The sequence below is a fragment of the Homo sapiens genome, chromosome 17, assembly GCF_000001405.40.
Source record: "Homo sapiens chromosome 17, GRCh38.p14 Primary Assembly".
NCBI lineage: Eukaryota > Metazoa > Chordata > Mammalia > Primates > Hominidae > Homo > Homo sapiens.
This window is the reverse complement of record NC_000017.11, coordinates 42,711,405-42,728,478: the sequence shown is the minus strand read 5'-3', so window position 1 is coordinate 42,728,478 and position 17,074 is coordinate 42,711,405. Positions and strand designations below refer to the sequence as shown.

Here is a 17,074-nt window from a genome sequence, read left to right as displayed (position 1 = left end):
TGAGCCACCGCGCCTGGCCCAGGGGTTGGAATTTCTTTTTAACTTTTGTTTTGAAATCGTAACAGGGCCAGGTGCGGTGGCTCACACCTGTAATCCCAGCACTTTGGGAGGCTAAGGCAGGTGGATCACCTGAGGTCAGGAGTTCGAGACCAGCCTGTCCTACCTGGTGAAACCTCGTCTCTACTAAAAATACAAAAATTAGCCGGGCGTGGTGTCATATGCCTGTAATCCCGGCTACTTGGGAGGCTGAGGCAGGAGAATTGCTTGAACCCAGGAGATAGAGGTTGCAGTGAGCCGAGATGGCACCACTGCACTCCAGCCTGGGTGACAGAGCAAGACTCCATCTCAAAAAAAAAAAAAAAGGCCAGGCACGGTGGCTCATGCCTGTAATTCCAGCACTTTGGGAGGCTGAGGCAGGCAGATCACTTGAGGCCAGGAGTTTCAAACCAGCCTGGCCAACATAGTGAAACCCTGTCTCTACCAAAAATACAAAAATTAGCCAGGTGTGGTGGTCTGTGCCTGTAATCCCAGCTACTTGGGAGGCCGAGGTAGGAGAATCGCTTGAACCCGGGAGGCGGAGGTTGTGGTGAGCTGAGATCGCGCTACTACACTCCAGCCTGGGTGACAACAGAGCAAGACTCCATCTCAAAAAAATAAATTATTAATTAATTAATAAAATAACAATATATCTTAATCTTTTCCATGGCTTTGCTAGGCTTTGTATGTGGCAAATTTTGCAAAGGTTCAAGAAAAAACCCAGATCCTCAATGAAGAATGGAAGAAGCTTCGTGTCCAACCTGTTCAGTCAATGAAGCCTGTGAGTGGACACCCTTTTCTCAAAAAGGTACTTTTGGGAGTTTAAGCTCAGTCTTCCTCTCTTCCTTGGGCTTAAAGCTTTTTCCTATATTTGTGACTTTTTAGAAAGTGAATAAGTAAGACAAGGTATGGTGGCTCACACAAGTATTCCCAGCTATTTGGGAGGCTGAGGTGGGAAAATCGCTTGAGGTGAGGAGTTTGAGACCAGCCTGGGCAACATAGACTGTGTCTCTAAAAAATTTTTTAAAAAAGTAGCCAGACATGGTGGTGTAGTCCTAGCTACTTGTGAGGCTGAGGTGGAAGGATTTCTTGAGCCCAGAAGTTCAAGGCTGAAATAAACTATGATTTCACCACAACACTCCAGTCTGGGTTGACAGACAAGACCTTATGTCCAAAAAAGAAAAAGGAAAGAAAGGAAATAAATAAATAAGGTTAAGGTTAATAGATACAGCTATTTTAGTCAACTTTGAATAATTAAGATAGTAAATCTGCAGCTTCAAGAATAATTACGGGGGCTGGACGCAGTGGCTCACACCTGTAATCTCAGCACTTCGGGAGGCTGAGGCAGATGGATCACTTGAGGCCAGGAGTTTGAGACCAGCCTGGCCAACATAGCGAAACACTGTCTCTACTAAAAATACAAAAGTTAGCTGCGTGTGATGGTGCACACCTATAATCCCAGCTACTTGGGAGGCTGAGGCCTGAGAACCTCTTGAACCTAGGAGGCAGAAGTTGCAGTGAGCCAAGATCACACCACTGCACTCCAGCCTGGGTGAAAGAGTGAGACTGTGTCTCAAAAAAAATAATAAATAATAAATAAATAAAAGAATTTTCTAGTTAAGAAACTTTGGCTGGACGCGGTGGCTCACACCTGTAATCCCAGCACTTTGGGAGGCCGAGGTGGGTGGATCACCTGAGGTCAAGAGTTTGAGACCAGGCTGGCCAACATGGTGAAACCCCATCTCTACTAATAGTACAAAAAAATTAGCCAGGCATGGTGGCACACTTCTGTAATCCCAGCTACTAGGGAGGCTGAGGCAGGAGAATTGCTTGAACCCGGGAGGTGGAGGTTGCAGTGATCTGAGATGGCACCATTGTACTTCAGCCTGGGCAACAAGAGCAAAACACCATCTCCAAAAAAAAAGAAACTTTATGAAAATAAATTATCATTATTATTATTTAGAGACAAGATCTCACTATGTCACCCAGACTGGAGTGCAGTGTCATGATCATAGCTTACTGTAACCTCCAACACCTGGGAAATAGATAATATTTTTAAAATATAAAAAGTAAATATTATCTAGGCATGGTAGTGTATGCCTATAATCCCAGCTACTCGGGAGGCTGAGGTGGGAGAATCACTTGAACCCAAGAGTTCAAGGCTGCAGTGAGCTATGATCTCCAGCCTGGGCGACAGCGAGACTCCGTCTCAAAAAAAAAAAAAAAAAAGAGACTGTCTCTTAAAAAAAAAAAAAAAAAGCAGAAGCTGGGTGCAGTGGCTCATGCCTGTAATCCCAGCACTTTTAGAGGCTGTGACAGGTGGATCACCTGAGGTCAGGAGTTCAAGACCAGCCTGGCCAACATGGTGAAACCCTGTCTCTACTAAAAATACAAAAATTGGCCGAGCGTGGTGGCGTGCACCTATAATCCCAGCTACTCAGGAGGCTGAGGCAGGAGAATTGCTTGAACCTGGGAGGCGGAGGTTGCAATGAGCCAAGATCGTGCAACTGCACTCCAGCCTGGGCGACAGAGTGAGACCCTGTCTCAAAACAAAAAACGAAAAGCAGATAGTGTATTGAGAGCAAATATCTTTCCTGAAGCAGAATGTTACTATAATTTCTATACCACTTTGCTTCTCCATGTACTATCCCTATCACCTATGCAGCTAAGTTGATGTCCACTGTCTTAAAGTTTAGGTCTTCAGAAAACTTCCTCATCTTTTAGGACTTTCAGAGGCTCTTTACTGTTGTGTATAACCCAGGTAGACCAACAGTTTGAGCTGAGGTAAACATCAGCTGAGTATGGGAAGTACTGTGCTGAACTCTATAGAGGACACAAAGGTGAATAAGAGTCCCTTCTTTTGGCTGGGCATAGTGGCTCACACATGTAATCCCAGCACTTTGGGAGGCTAAGGCAGGATGATTGCTTGAGTCCAGGAGTTGGAGACCAGCGTGGGCAATATAGCGAGACCCTGTCTCTACAAAAAAAAAAAAGAAAAATTAGCTGTTTAACTGGATGTAGTAGCACATGCCTGTAATCCCAGCTTCTCGGGAGGCTGAGGTTGGAGGATGGCTTTAGCCTGGGAGGCAGAGGCTGCAGTGAGCTGTGATTGCACAACTGCACTCAGCCTGGGCAACAGAGTGAGATCCTGTCTCAAAAAAAAAAAAAGAGTTTCTACTTTCCACAAGTTTGCAGTCTAGGGATTCCTTTTAGGAGATGATGTTACAAAACTCTGAATTTATTAAGTTGTTTTTAAAATTTTGTTTTTGTTTTTTTTGAGACGGAGTATCGCTATGTCGCCAGGCTGGAGTGCAGTGGCGTGATCTTGGCTCACTGCAACCTCCACCTCCCAGGTTCAAGCAATTCTCCTGCCTCAGCCTCCCGAGTAGCTGGGACTACAGGCATGTGCCACCACGCCCAGCTAATTTTTGTATTTTTAGTAGGGACTGGGTTTCACCATGTTGGCCAGGATAGTCTTGATCTCCTGACTTCATGATCCACCCGCCTCGGTCTCCCAAAGTGCTGGGATTACAGGCGTGAGCCACCATGCCTGGTCAAATTTTTTATAATTTTAAATGCCATCTGAATTTTAAAAATTTAATTTATTAGCTTGTAAGAACTAGAGGCTACTAAGATCATTTTTTTTCTCTTTTTTTTCTTTTTTTTCTTGAGACAGAGTCTCGCTCTGTCACCCAGGCTGGAGTGCAGTGGCTCACTCAACCTCTGCCTCCCAGGTTCAAGTGATTCTCATACCTCAGTCTCCCAAGTAGCTGGGATTACATGTGTGTACCACCATGCTCAGCTAATTTTTGTATTATGTTTTTGTAGAGATGGGGTTTCACCATGTTGGCCTGGCTGGTCTCCAACTGACTTCAAGTGATCTGCCTGTCTTGGCCTCCCAAAGTGCTGGGATTACTGGCATGAGCCACTATGCCCAGCCAATTTTGGAAGGAAATTACATTTCTTTCTTGGGTTATATGCCCGTCTTTCCCTCTCCATGTCATTGCTTATATTTCAGTGTACCATAGAGAGCATTTTCCCGGGATTTGCAAGCCAACATATGTTAATGAGGTCACTGAACACAGTTGCATTGGTTCCCATCATGTATTCCTGGTCCCCTCTCCAACAGAACTTTATGGTATGTATTGAAAGCACTGTGGTGGTTATTTAAACTGTATGATTGTGTTATGTTGATATGCCAGAGCTCCTCTTAGGGTAAAGATTGTCCAGTAATTAACACAGCTAGGACATGCAGGGCAGAACAAGGTTGTAATTTACTTACTCTAAACAATATATATTGCAAGTTGTTCTAACTTGTCAGATTTTATGCTCTCTGATGTGTGCTTTGGAATTGATGCTGGTTCTTTTTTAAATGAATAATATTGGGCAAGATTTCAATTTTCTCTTAGTACCTTGGCCCAATATTATGTACAGTTAAATGCAGTCTAAATCAGACTCTTGAGGCTTGAGCAGGTTGTCTGCTCCCTGTTGATGGAGTAATCCTTTCTGAATTCTCTAAATGCAAGATGCTACAAAAACAACTGAGACAACAGACGTGCACACAGTCCTTTCATCTGGGCCTTTGTGCTGACTCCTACTAGGATTATTTGTGGTTTTGATAATCATTCCTCTCTAAATACTGCCATTGCTTATCATCTGCCTGGTGACAGATAGCCGTACTACTGGTTGGAATGAGGTCGAGGTTTATAGAAGGGAATCATCTCTTAGAATAAAACTTCAGAATAATTTTACTTGCTACTTGGGGATTTTAGAATGACTATATTCTCTGCTGAGCACCCCACTCCCCCAAAATTATTTACTATTGTTTATTGCCAGAAAATATCCATAGCCTAGGCTGCAGTTGACTTTAGGTTCCCATTGAGTGTGACTGGCATGAGTTGTAATCATAATTTTTTTTTATTATTGGAGAATCTTAGTCCATCTTATAGAATACCCATGTCTTATGATTGCCCAGTTTATTTTGTAGTTAAATTACAGATCATAATCTTAGAAGCCTTCATTTTTATTTATCCATCTGTCTCTCTACTTATGAAACTTTTTTTTTTTTTGAGACGGAGTCTCACTGTGTCGCCAGGCTGGAGTACAGTGGCGCGATCTCAGCTTACTGCAACCTCTGCCTCCCAGGTTCAAGCGATTCTCCTCCCTCAGCCTCCCTAGTAGCTGGGACTACAGGCATGCGCCACCACGCCCAGCTAATTTTTTGTATTTTAGTAGAGATGGGGTTTCACCATGTTGGCCAGGATGGTCTCGATCTCCTGACCTCATGATCCGCCTGCCTCGGCCTCCCAAAGTGCTGGGATTGCAGGCGTGAGCCACCACACTTGGCCCCATTTGAGGTTTTTTTGGCCAAACAAAATGGCCAGTGTTTAAAATGCAGGAAACTCTGGGACAAAGGCATTTTCAGGAGACTCAAGCAACAAACAAAGCTCAGCAAAGATTCCACTAAATAGGAAAGAGCAGATGCATGATGGCTTCATGGAATAAATCACATCTGGTTTGGTTTCAGGTAGAAGATGAGACGGTTTTGTGCAATATTCCCTACATGGGAGATGAAGTGAAAGAAGAAGATGAGACTTTTATTGAGGAGCTGATCAATAACTATGATGGGAAAGTCCATGGTGAAGAAGGTAGTGGTACTGAACTCCTTGGAGAAAATTTTGTTAGAATCAGGCCTCTTCTTTGGTACCTCATCATCTTGCCATCTTGCTTTTATCTTCTGCCCCATGGGGTACACACTGCAGAATATTTCAATGTCATCACATGGCTGGGAGTTAATTTTTTTTTTTTTTTTTTTTTGAGACGGAGTTTTGCCTTAGTTGCCCAGGCTGGAGTGCAGTGGTGTAATCTAGGCTCACTGCAATCTCTGCCTCCTGGGTTCAAGTGATTCTTCTGCCTCAGCCTCCCAAGTAGCTGGGACTACAGGTGTCTGCCACCATGCCCAGCTAATTCTTGTATTTTTAGTAGAGATGGGGTTTCACCATGTTGGTCAGGCTGGTCTCGAATTCCTGACCTCAGGTGATCCACCTATCTCGGCCTCCTAAAGTGCTGGGATTATAGGCGTGAGCCACCATGCCTAGCCCAATTTTTTTTTTTATTTTTTTTTTAGAGACAGGGACTCACTCAGTCACCCAGGCTGGAATGCAGTGGCATGATCATAGCTTATTGTAGCCTCAGCCTCCTGGGCTTAAGTGATTTTCCTGCTTTAGCCTCCTGGGGGGCTGGGACTACAGGTGCACTCCACCACACCTGGCTTTTTTTTTTTTTTTTTTTTTTGAGACAGAGTCTCGCTGTGTCACCCAGGCTGGAGCGCAGTGGCACAATCTCGGCTCACTGTAAGCTCCGCCTCCCGGGTTCATGCCATTCTCCTGCCTCAGCCTCCCGAGGTAGCTGGGACTACAGGCGCCTACCACACCCGGCTACTTTTTTGTATTTTTAGTAGGGATGGGGTTTCACCGTGTGAGCCAGGATGGTCTCGATCTCCTGACCTTGTGATCCTCCCACCTCAGCCTCCCAAAGTGCTGGGATTACAGGCGTGAGCCACCGTGCCCGGCCCTGGCTTATTTTTAAAATTTTTTGTAGAGATGGAGTCTCACCACGTTGCCCAGGCTGGTCTTAAACTCCTGGCCTCAAGCAATCCTCCCACGTTGGCCTCCCAAAGCTCTGGGATTACAAGAGTGAGCCAACATGCCTGGCCCAAAATACCCTAGTTATTTCTTTTTTTCTTTCTTTCTTTTTTTTTTTTATTACCCTAGTTATTTCTGATTCAAGCAGCAGAAACAGAAATAAAAATTATTTAAAGTATCCTAGTTAAATTTTAAAAGGAGTTGGGACATAAAAGGATTATGTAGTAATCAGTGGCTGGAGAGAAAGTTTATTGTACAAATAAGTTTAATCTTAGGGCTTAGGAGTTTTCCATAAGGACATCCAAGACCATTTTGTTCTTTATTTCTCTTTCTCTGAGAATGGCAATGAGGCTCTCTGTCATACTTCTTTGATCCAGGCATCCCCTGAATCTCCCAGAAGTTGGTTTTAATAATCTGAATTTCCTAAAAGCCAATTGTTTGGATTTAGTCATAATTCTAGAAAAGTCTGTCCGTGTGTAAGAAATGGAAAGAGGAGAGGCTCTCCATCACTTCATAAACCAACAGCCCCACCTGCTCTTTTGACAATTGTGGGCACTGTTGTGATGCTGTTGAACTACATTATTTGTCCACAGTGCCTCCTAGTGTTCAAAGACCTCCTAAATTGTAGTACATCTCCATAAAGTACAATTTTAGGAAAAATTGCTGTCTTTTGATTTAGAGACGTCATTACTGACCCATCAGCAGCAAAGCCAAGAGAATTTTCATTTTATTATTTTTCTCTGCCCTACTTGGAGATTGTTTGAACACTTTCATGAGATTTTGAACCAGAAATTCAGAGTTGACTTGTGACTGAGGAAGTGAAGTTCTTCAGTAAGAATAAAGCCTATGGCTGGGCACGGTGGGTCACACCTGTAATCCCAGCATTTTGGTAGGCCGAGGCGGGCGGATCACCTGAGGTCTGGAGTTCACGACCAGCCTGACATGGAGAAACCCAGTCTCTACTAAAATACAAAATTAGCCAGGGTGGTGGCACATGCGTAATCTCAGCTACTCGGGAGGCTGAGGCAGGAGAATCACTTGAACCTGGGAGGTGGAGGTTGCGGTGAGCCAAGATCGCGCCATTGCACTCCAGCCTGGGCAATAAGGCGAAACTCCGTCTAAAAAAAATAATAAAAATAAATAAAGCCTATAGCTGTATTCCTACTCTAGCCAGCTGCCCACTGCATGTGTAGGAGCCAATCAAATGATTGTAATTTCCTGATCTCCCATGTAAAAATGTACACATGTGACATATCTGGGCCTCTGGAGTGAGTACAAGAAAACCTGCCTAGGAGGACTAATGGAATGTGAAGTGACCACTGCTCATCTTTCGAATCCTCATGTTTCAGAGATGATCCCTGGATCCGTTCTGATTAGTGATGCTGTTTTTCTGGAGTTGGTCGATGCCCTGAATCAGTACTCAGATGAGGAGGAGGAAGGGCACAATGACACCTCAGATGGAAAGCAGGATGACAGCAAAGAAGATCTGCCAGTAACAAGAAAGAGAAAGCGACATGCTATTGAAGGTACGTAGCACTGGCTCCCTTATTCCTTTTTTAAAGTGACAGGGATAGGGAAGAAGGAAGAACTGGAAAGATTTGTTGCCTATTAAAGGCTGTTGGTGCTTCTTGTTGGTTCACTTAAAAGGAGAACATGATCATTAAGTGATAGCTTCAGATAGCTGTGACTTGGGTGAAGAAGAAAGTAGAAGAACTGATAGAATAATCATTGCTATTCATTTCTAATTATATGTCTCATGTGAAATTGGGATCATGCCAATTTATATATATGTATATATCAAATTTTATATCCCTTTTTATTTAATCTTATGAGTACTTTTCCATGTCACTAATGTTTAATTTAAAATTTAATAGTTTAATTATACTATATGTCCAGGGACATAGTGTATTCTCTTTTATTGTATCATAATTATAGTATCAGTGTAGTTCTTCAGCATCCACTTCATGATAGGATTCTTCTATGTTCAGGCCTCTCTATGAACACTCTTTTCACCTCCAAATTCTTATTTTTATTTTTAAAATCTATTATTTATTATTTTTTTGAGACACAGTCTTGCTCTGTTACCCAAGGTGGAGTGCAGTGGCACAATCTCGGCTCACTGCAACCTCCACCTCCCTGGTTCAAGTGATTCTTGTGTGTCAGCCTTCTAAGTAGCTGGGACTATAGGCATGCACCACCATGCCCAGCTAAGTTTTGTATTTTTAGTAGAGTTGGGGTTTTACCATGTTGGCCAGGCTGGTCTCAAACTCCTGGCCTCAAGTGATCCGCTCCCCTCGGCCTCTCAAAGTACTGACTGGGATTACAGGCGTGAGCCACCTCACATCCAGATTCTAATTGGGACTGTGGATTTTGTTGTTAATATGTAGACTACTCTAACTTCCTTATTTACTGGTAGCATATATCAGATAAGTCCAGATAGCACTGATGTTTATATATCTCCAAACAATCAGTGGTTAGGTTAACAAAGCAGCTGTAATCAAAATGCTATGACAAAAGGAAAAAAGATCACACAGATTTGTTTACGTGTTCTGATAATCGCACTCAGGAGCTTTTTATCATTTCCAATTCAGGCAACAAAAAGAGTTCCAAGAAACAGTTCCCAAATGACATGATCTTCAGTGCAATTGCCTCAATGTTCCCTGAGAATGGTGTCCCAGATGACATGAAGGAGAGGTAGGGAAAGCTGTCCCACTTAGGCCATATACAGAGTGCTCGGACAAAACCTTTATTCCCTCCTAATTTTTGGTTAGTAAAAAGCTTTGTTTATGGTAAGGGCATTATGATTTGCCCGCAATTTGATTATTTCTTGCTTACTCAATTACCTCTAAATGCCCCCCTTACTATATTAAGGGTCATCGTATACTGGCTTTTGAGTGAGTCTGGGCAGAGAACATTTACTCTGCCATTTTTCTGGAGAGTTAACTCCAGCACCATCTTAACAAATCCTTCCCTCCCCTTACTTTCCAACATTTGCCCAACCCAGCATAATTACAATGGTGGACCCACTCTAGTTATCTACCATTCTCTTATCAACCAGACCTATAAAAAACACCCATCCTCCCTTGGCAGACCGTAGGTGAGCTACTGTCAGTACCCAATCTGTATTTCCTCAGTGGAGGCAGTTCCTCGGAGGAACTCTTATCTCTCTTTTCTTAAATAGGTATCGAGAACTAACAGAGATGTCAGACCCCAATGCACTTCCCCCTCAGTGCACACCCAACATCGATGGCCCCAATGCCAAGTCTGTGCAGCGGGAGCAATCTCTGCACTCCTTCCACACACTTTTTTGCCGGCGCTGCTTTAAATACGACTGCTTCCTTCACCGTGAGTGGGGCTACTCTGTTTGAAATGCTCTCCTCTCTTCCATCCCCAGCCACCATTTCCTTCTCTTTGTTCTGGTTTCTCGTATAGAGTTCCTGGCTTCTGTTCTAACGTTTTACAAAGGGCCAGTTCTATTTTCCCTTGCTCAATTATAGTGCAACATGCTTTGCATGATAGGGACAGACTAACTAGCAACTTATCTGTCCCTCAGTACCTCTTAGCTTTGAAAGCATTGTGTTGATGTCAGAAATGACTGAATTTTGTGCACCCTGATGGTAGCCGTTTATATCGAATTCTAACTCCTACAATAGCTCTCTAATTCACTTTTGTTTCTCCCCATCTTGTCAAGTGGATAGACCACTGGCAACAAGACAGTTTTTGTTTTCCAGCTTTTCATGCCACCCCTAATGTATATAAACGCAAGAATAAAGAAATCAAGATTGAACCAGAACCATGTGGCACAGACTGCTTCCTTTTGCTGGTATGTTCTTAAGCTGTTCTGGCATTATTAACTTCATTCTGGGAACACAAGCCACGTGAGCCAGTACACAGCACTCTGGGGGTCATATAGCACAAATAAAACATGGCTTTTGCTCTTAAGGAGCTCCCCAGTTACTGTGGGACCGCTCTTAAGGAACTCCCCAGACATGGTAGCACTATAAAGTTAGTCTGATGGAGTGCAGATTCGAAGATCATTAAAGGCTTGCCTGCTCTAAATATCATCTGCTTAGATTTCAGAGCCTAAAACTGTATTGTTAGAATTGGAGCAAAGTGTATGCTGGGGGGGTGGGTACACACTCTAGTTTCTTTGCTATCTTGTTATAAATGCATATAACTATGAGACGAATAGCACGTGATGATGCTGATGTCTTGTTGTGATCAACCAGATGGACCGTTCCCTGATGGACAGACCTTAAGAAGCAGCATAAATGGTCTGGCATACCTGTGGGGAAGCCATATATTGAGAGCTAGAAGGAAATAGATCAACTGGACTTGCCAAAGACACAGTTGGGCTTTTTACACAATAGGATGAGCCTAGGCGATGAATAAAATACCTTGATAAAATTTCTGCCACCTATTAAAATTATATTATACAACCAGCCAAGTGCTTTTGGAACCATCTTTAGTGGGATAATAGATGGAAAGATGGTAGAGAATGCTGTTGGGCACACATGTGGAAAATGGGCCGTACTGTAAAAGCAAAAGAATAGACGTTATTGGGTTTATTTTTTCCTAATGTGTATTGACTCCTTCCTATGTGCCAAGTATCATAGTAGACCCTTAACATACCTTGTCTTATTTTCATCCTATAACAGTGTCATGAGGTAGAGGAAACTGGATTACAAAAGTTATATATTTTGCCTAAAGTTTGTTGATAAGTCAGCGGTATGGCAGCGATGAAATTCAAGTCAGGGTCTAACTCCACAGATCATGCTTTTAAAATTACTCCATGTTTTTCAGCCAGGCGTCGTAGTGCACACCTATAATCCCAGCACTTTGGGAGGCTGAGGGAGGTGGATCACCTGAGGTCAGGAGTTTGAGACCAGCCTGGTCAACATGGAAAAACCCTGTCTCTACTGAAAATACAAAATTAACCAGGTGTGGTGGCGCACGCCTGTAATCCCAGCTACTCAGGAGGCTGAGACAGGAGAATTGCTTGAACCCAGGAGGTGGAGGCTGCAGTGAGCCGAGATCACGCCACTGTACTCCAGCCTGGGTGAGATAGTGAGACTCCATCTCAAAAAAAAAATAATAATAAAATGAAATTACTTCATCCTTAAAAAAATATATATGCCATGTTATGTCAACATACCAGCATTTATATAAGTCAAAAGGTCATTGCCCTTCTCACAGGAGTCACCTTGATACCCTGTACATGTATTACGAAGATGCTGCCAATGCCTGAAATGTATGCATGTTTAACTTACAGAGATAATGTATGCACAATTTTTCTTTTATTGCGTTTTAGGTTTGAGTGCATATTAAATATAATGCTGGACTATTTTCCCCCAACTGTTTACTAAGAACATTTTCAATCATGCAGAGTTGAAAGATACCTTCTTCCTGGATTTGATAACATTTTTTTCTGTATCTCCTTTCTCCATAAATTTGCGTATGTATATCTTTTGCTGAACCATTTGACAATAAGTTGCAGACATTGTGATGCTCATTTGGTAAATGTTTCAGCATAAAGACATTCTCTTACATAACCACATTATTACACCTAGGACAATTAATAAAAATTGTATAGTATCCTCTATTACCCATTCTATTAATATATTCAATTTTTTTTTCAGCTGTACCAAGAATAGGTATTTTTGTGTTGTGTTTTGTTTTGTTTTGTTTCCAAACCAGGATCATCCAGTCAGACATCATATTTGGTTATTATGTCTTTTTTTTTTTTTTTTTGAGACAGAGTTTCACTCTTGTTGCCCAGGCTGGAGTGCAATGGTGCAATCTCAGCTCACCACAATCTCCACCTCCCGGGTTCAAACGATTCTCCTGCCTCAGCCTCCCAAGTAGCTGGGATTACAGGCATGCGCCACCACGCCCAGCTAATTTTTGTGTTTTTAGTAGAGACAGGGTTTCTCTGTGTTGGTCAGGCTGGTCTTGAACTCCCAACCTCAGGTGATCAGACTGCCTGGCCTCCCAAAGTACTGGGATTACAGGTGTAATAAGGCGCCCGGCCTTGTTATGTCTTTTTACTCGTTTTTAATCTCAAATAATTCTATCACTTTTAAAATCTTTTTAAAAGTTCCAGGCTGGTTGTCTTGTAGGATGACCCACATCCTGGATTCATCTGTTGTTTTTTCACAGTGTCATTTCTGTGTTCTTCTGTCTCCTCTTTCTTATAACCTAGAAATTAGGTCTGGAAACTTGATTTTATTTATGTTAAAATGTTTGGCCATTATATTAAAATGGTGGCTCACGCCTGTAATCCCAGCAATTTGGGGGGCTGAAGCATGTGGATAGCTTGAGCCTAGGAGTTCGAGACCAGCCTGGGCAACATGGCAAAACCCCATGTCTATAAAAAATACAAAAATTAGCTGGACTGGACTTGGGAGGCTGAGGTGGGAGGATCAGTTGAGCCTAGAAGGTCAAGGCTGCAGTGAGCTGAGATCATGCTACTGTACTCACCTGGGTGACAGGGCAAGACCTCGTCTCAAAAAAATATATATATATATAAATACATATAATCTATTATATATTATATTATATATAAATACATATAATCTATAATATATATTATATATAAATACATATAATCTATGATATATATTATATATAAATACATATAATCTATAATATATAATATATAAATACATATAATCTATTATATATAATATATAAATACATATAATCTATAATATATAAATACATGTAATATATAGTATATAAATACATATATAATATATAAATTATATTTACATAAATTATATATATTTTATATTTATATAAATTATATATAAATATATTTATATAAATTTCATATATTTATATATTATATAAATATATATTTTATATTTATATAAATTATATAATTATATAATATATTTCCATATTATATATTATATATATAATATATAAAAATTATATGTAAATATATATAAATGTTTAAAATAGTATAATTGATACTGTATACTTCATACACAGCATAGGCACATAATATCAGGTTCAGTTAATTTTGAAACTTCTCTTTTGGAATTTCCTTTAGGCCTTACTGTATATTATTCCAAATTCCAGATACCCTTAATGATAGTTAACCTTTATTTTTTTTTCATTTTTATTACTCAAAAAAACTTCATTTTTAAATTGAGCTTTCTGACTCTGCTTGTGCCTTCAACACTTTCACAACAATTTTCTGCTGCTTGCTAAGGAAAGCACACTTGCTCCTGCACCAATACATTCAGCACACACGGATCCACCATAGGCCCTGCTGACATGCTTTTTTGTTTTGGACAATCTCATAGGAACTTTAGGTCTCATAGCACAAACCCCCCGAAGTCTGCTGGGCACACGCCACATGCAGATTTCAGTGCTTTCCCAACCCTCTTGGTATAAAGGTAATCAATTCTATTACCAGGGGCTCAGGACAGCCTAGTTTTGTTAAAAGCTATATTGTAGGAAAGCCTACATGTATGTCAAATGCTGGACCATTCTGAGTGCCTCTAGACAATGTCACTGGAAGATAAACCTTTATTTTGTAGAAATAGATTTAGTTTTCAGAAACAGCTAGGAAGTCTTTGAAAACCAAGTCTGATGAGAAAATATTGATGATCTAGGTGAGTGATAATTATTTCATTTTTTAAAAAAGGGGGTGATAGCTGTAAAATAATGAAACAATATTCTTCTGAGTTTCATACACAGATTTGGGAGGAAGTTTCAAAATTAAGTAGTAAGATTGTACAGATTAAGCATTACACATTTTATTAAGGAAACAGAGAAAGTGTGGTAGACTGGAAAGAATAGTGGCCTAGGGAGACAAGGAGCCCTGATTCCTATACCCCTCTGGAACTATTAGCTGCATACTCTCAAGCTAGTTTCTTCCCCTCTCTGAATCTCATTTCTTCATCCATAGGAGAATGTGTTCTCAAATTCCAAACAAGTAACACGCAAGTTAATTTTAGATACAACTCACTGGAAAATTGAAGACACAGATGCATAGATTATATCTTTTTTAAGATTATAGGACATTAGCTGGGCATGGTGACATGTGCGTGTGGTCCTAGCTACTTGGGAGGCTGAGGCAAGGGAATCACTTGAGCCCAGGAATTCGAGGCTGCAGTGAGCAGGCCTCTGCACTCCATCCTGGGCAAGAGAGAGAGACCCTGTCTCAAAAAAACAAACAAACAAAAAAACATTATAGGACAACTCTTTTGTGAAAAAGTACGTAAGTTTTGTTAAGCAGCTCTCATTGTTATATGATCATACTTATTATATGGTACAGAGAAAAAGAAAAGACACTATTATTGTAGACAGATGTTGTAAAGATGAAAGTTTGTGATGATGAGATCAATATGGTGATGGGCCTGTTCCTATTTCCTGTCTGTAATGTGTCCACTGCAGGAAGGAGCAAAGGAGTATGCCATGCTCCACAACCCCCGCTCCAAGTGCTCTGGTCGTCGCCGGAGAAGGCACCACATAGTCAGTGCTTCCTGCTCCAATGCCTCAGCCTCTGCTGTGGCTGAGACTAAAGAAGGAGACAGTGACAGGGACACAGGCAATGACTGGGCCTCCAGTTCTTCAGGTACGATGAACAGAAAATGAAGACTTTTTCTTTCCATGCAAGGACTCTGGTAAACCCAGGATCACTGCCTGACACTTAACTTTACTACCTCTTAAAAATTATAAATTCTTTCTACAAGTTTTGTAAACAGTAAAGATGGGGAATATTTTCTTTTTTTTTTTTTTTTTTTTTGAAACAGTCTCTCGCTTTTTTGCCCAGGCTGGAGTGCAGTGGTGCTATCTTGGCTCACTGCAACCTCCACCTCCCAGGTTCAAGCGATTCTCCTGCCTCAGCCTCCCAAGTAGCTGGGATTACAGGTGCCTGCCACCACGCCCGGCTAATTTTTATATTTTTAGTAGAGACGGGGTTTCGCCATGTTGGCCAGGCTGGTCTTGAACTTCTGACCTCAGGTGATCCGCCTGCCTCGGCGTCCTAAAGTGCTGGGATTACAGGCGTGAGCCACCCTGCCTGGCTAATTTTTGTATTTTTAGTAGAGACAGGGTTTCGCCATGTTGCCCAGGCTGGTCTTGAACTCCTGAGCTCAAGCAATCCACCCACCTCGGCCTCCCAAAATGCAGGGATTACAGGCGTGAGCCACCATGCCTGGCCTAAAGATAGGGAATATTTTCATTCCTAACTGTTCTACCTTTTAAAGTAGAATGAAGTACTTCTGAGTTTGTGACAAACTACTGATGACAACTGCATTCTACCTTCTTCTGATTCTGTTATTTCTTCCCTTCTCAGAGGCTAACTCTCGCTGTCAGACTCCCACAAAACAGAAGGCTAGTCCAGCCCCACCTCAACTCTGCGTAGTGGAAGCACCCTCGGAGCCTGTGGAATGGACTGGGGCTGAAGAATCTCTTTTTCGAGTCTTCCATGGCACCTACTTCAACAACTTCTGTTCAATAGCCAGGCTTCTGGGGACCAAGACGTGCAAGCAGGTACCATCTGGAAGCAGCAGAACAAATGGGCCCCTCCTTTCACGCATTGCTCTGTCCAGCCCTTTGCCATCTTACCAGGCTGTGTGTCTGGGTCTGGAGAGAAGTTGTCTTAAGTTCAGTCCCTGATGAGCCTGTGCTTCTGTGAGTTTCCCAAACATGGCCCTTCTGCAAGTGCCAGGCCTAATGATGTTTGGGGACCCGCCTCCTCCTTGCTGAATGCTCATTTCTGTCTGGACTCTATTTAATGCTTCTGGGTCCTACACTCTTTCGCTTCTTTTTTTTGGCTCTGGCCTCCTTTCTAAATGTGTACCCCTTTCCCAGAAGGGACTCCCAGGTCTTTCTGTGGCTCTTGTTAATGAGCACACTGCTGCTGCTGCTGCAGCTGCTGCAGCTGCTGCTCCCTCCACCACTCCGCCAGCCTCTTCAGTCATTTTATTCTCCACATTTTCTATCACTAGATTATCTTTATTTTGTCTTTGAGACAGGGTTTCACTGTGTCGCCCAGGCTGGAGTGCAGTGGCATGATCATAGCTCACTGCAACCTCCGCCTCCTGGGCTCAAGCAGTCCTCTCCCCTCAGCCAAGCAAGTAGCAAGGGACTACAGGTGCAGGCCAGTATGCCCAGCTAATTTTTTTTTTTTTTTGAGACAGAATCTCGCTCTGTTGCCCAGGCTGGAGTGGTGCAGTGGCATAATCTTGGTTCACTGCAACCTCCGCCTCCCAAGTTCAAGTGATTCTTCTGCCTCATCCTCCCAAGCAACTGGGATTACAGGTGCCCACCACCACACCCAGCTAATTTTTTTTGTTTTGTTTTTTTGAGATGGAGTCTCGGTCTGTTGCCCAGGCTGGAGTGCAGTGGCATGATCTCAGCTCACTGCAGCCTCC

The 17,074-nt window shown here is 42.2% G+C and overlaps 1 protein-coding gene and 1 pseudogene across 7 annotated transcripts in view; one reads left to right on the top strand and one right to left on the bottom strand.

Moving 5' to 3' along the window:
* The window catches only part of EZH1 (enhancer of zeste 1 polycomb repressive complex 2 subunit), a 44,766-nt gene that overhangs the window by 16,562 nt on the left and 11,130 nt on the right, over nt 1–17,074 (top strand). For 2 of the 7 annotated variants that reach the window (XM_011524517.3, NM_001321081.2), the window contains 9 exons: nt 716–817; nt 4,055–4,174; nt 5,564–5,684; nt 8,030–8,206; nt 9,272–9,374; nt 9,862–10,025; nt 10,412–10,503; nt 15,090–15,270; nt 15,994–16,190. In XM_011524517.3, coding sequence (XP_011522819.1) covers nt 716–817; nt 4,055–4,174; nt 5,564–5,684; nt 8,030–8,206; nt 9,272–9,374; nt 9,862–10,025; nt 10,412–10,503; nt 15,090–15,270; nt 15,994–16,190 — 1,257 coding nt within the window. Of the gene's footprint in view, nt 1–715; nt 845–4,054; nt 4,175–5,563; nt 5,685–8,029; nt 8,207–9,271; nt 9,375–9,861; nt 10,026–10,411; nt 10,504–15,089; nt 15,271–15,993; nt 16,191–17,074 lie in introns of those variants that run through there. The other 5 variants (NM_001321079.2, NM_001991.5, XM_005257145.3 and 2 more) reach the window with 3 other exon arrangements.
* Nucleotides 13,840–14,180, bottom strand: RPL34P30 (ribosomal protein L34 pseudogene 30; annotated as a pseudogene).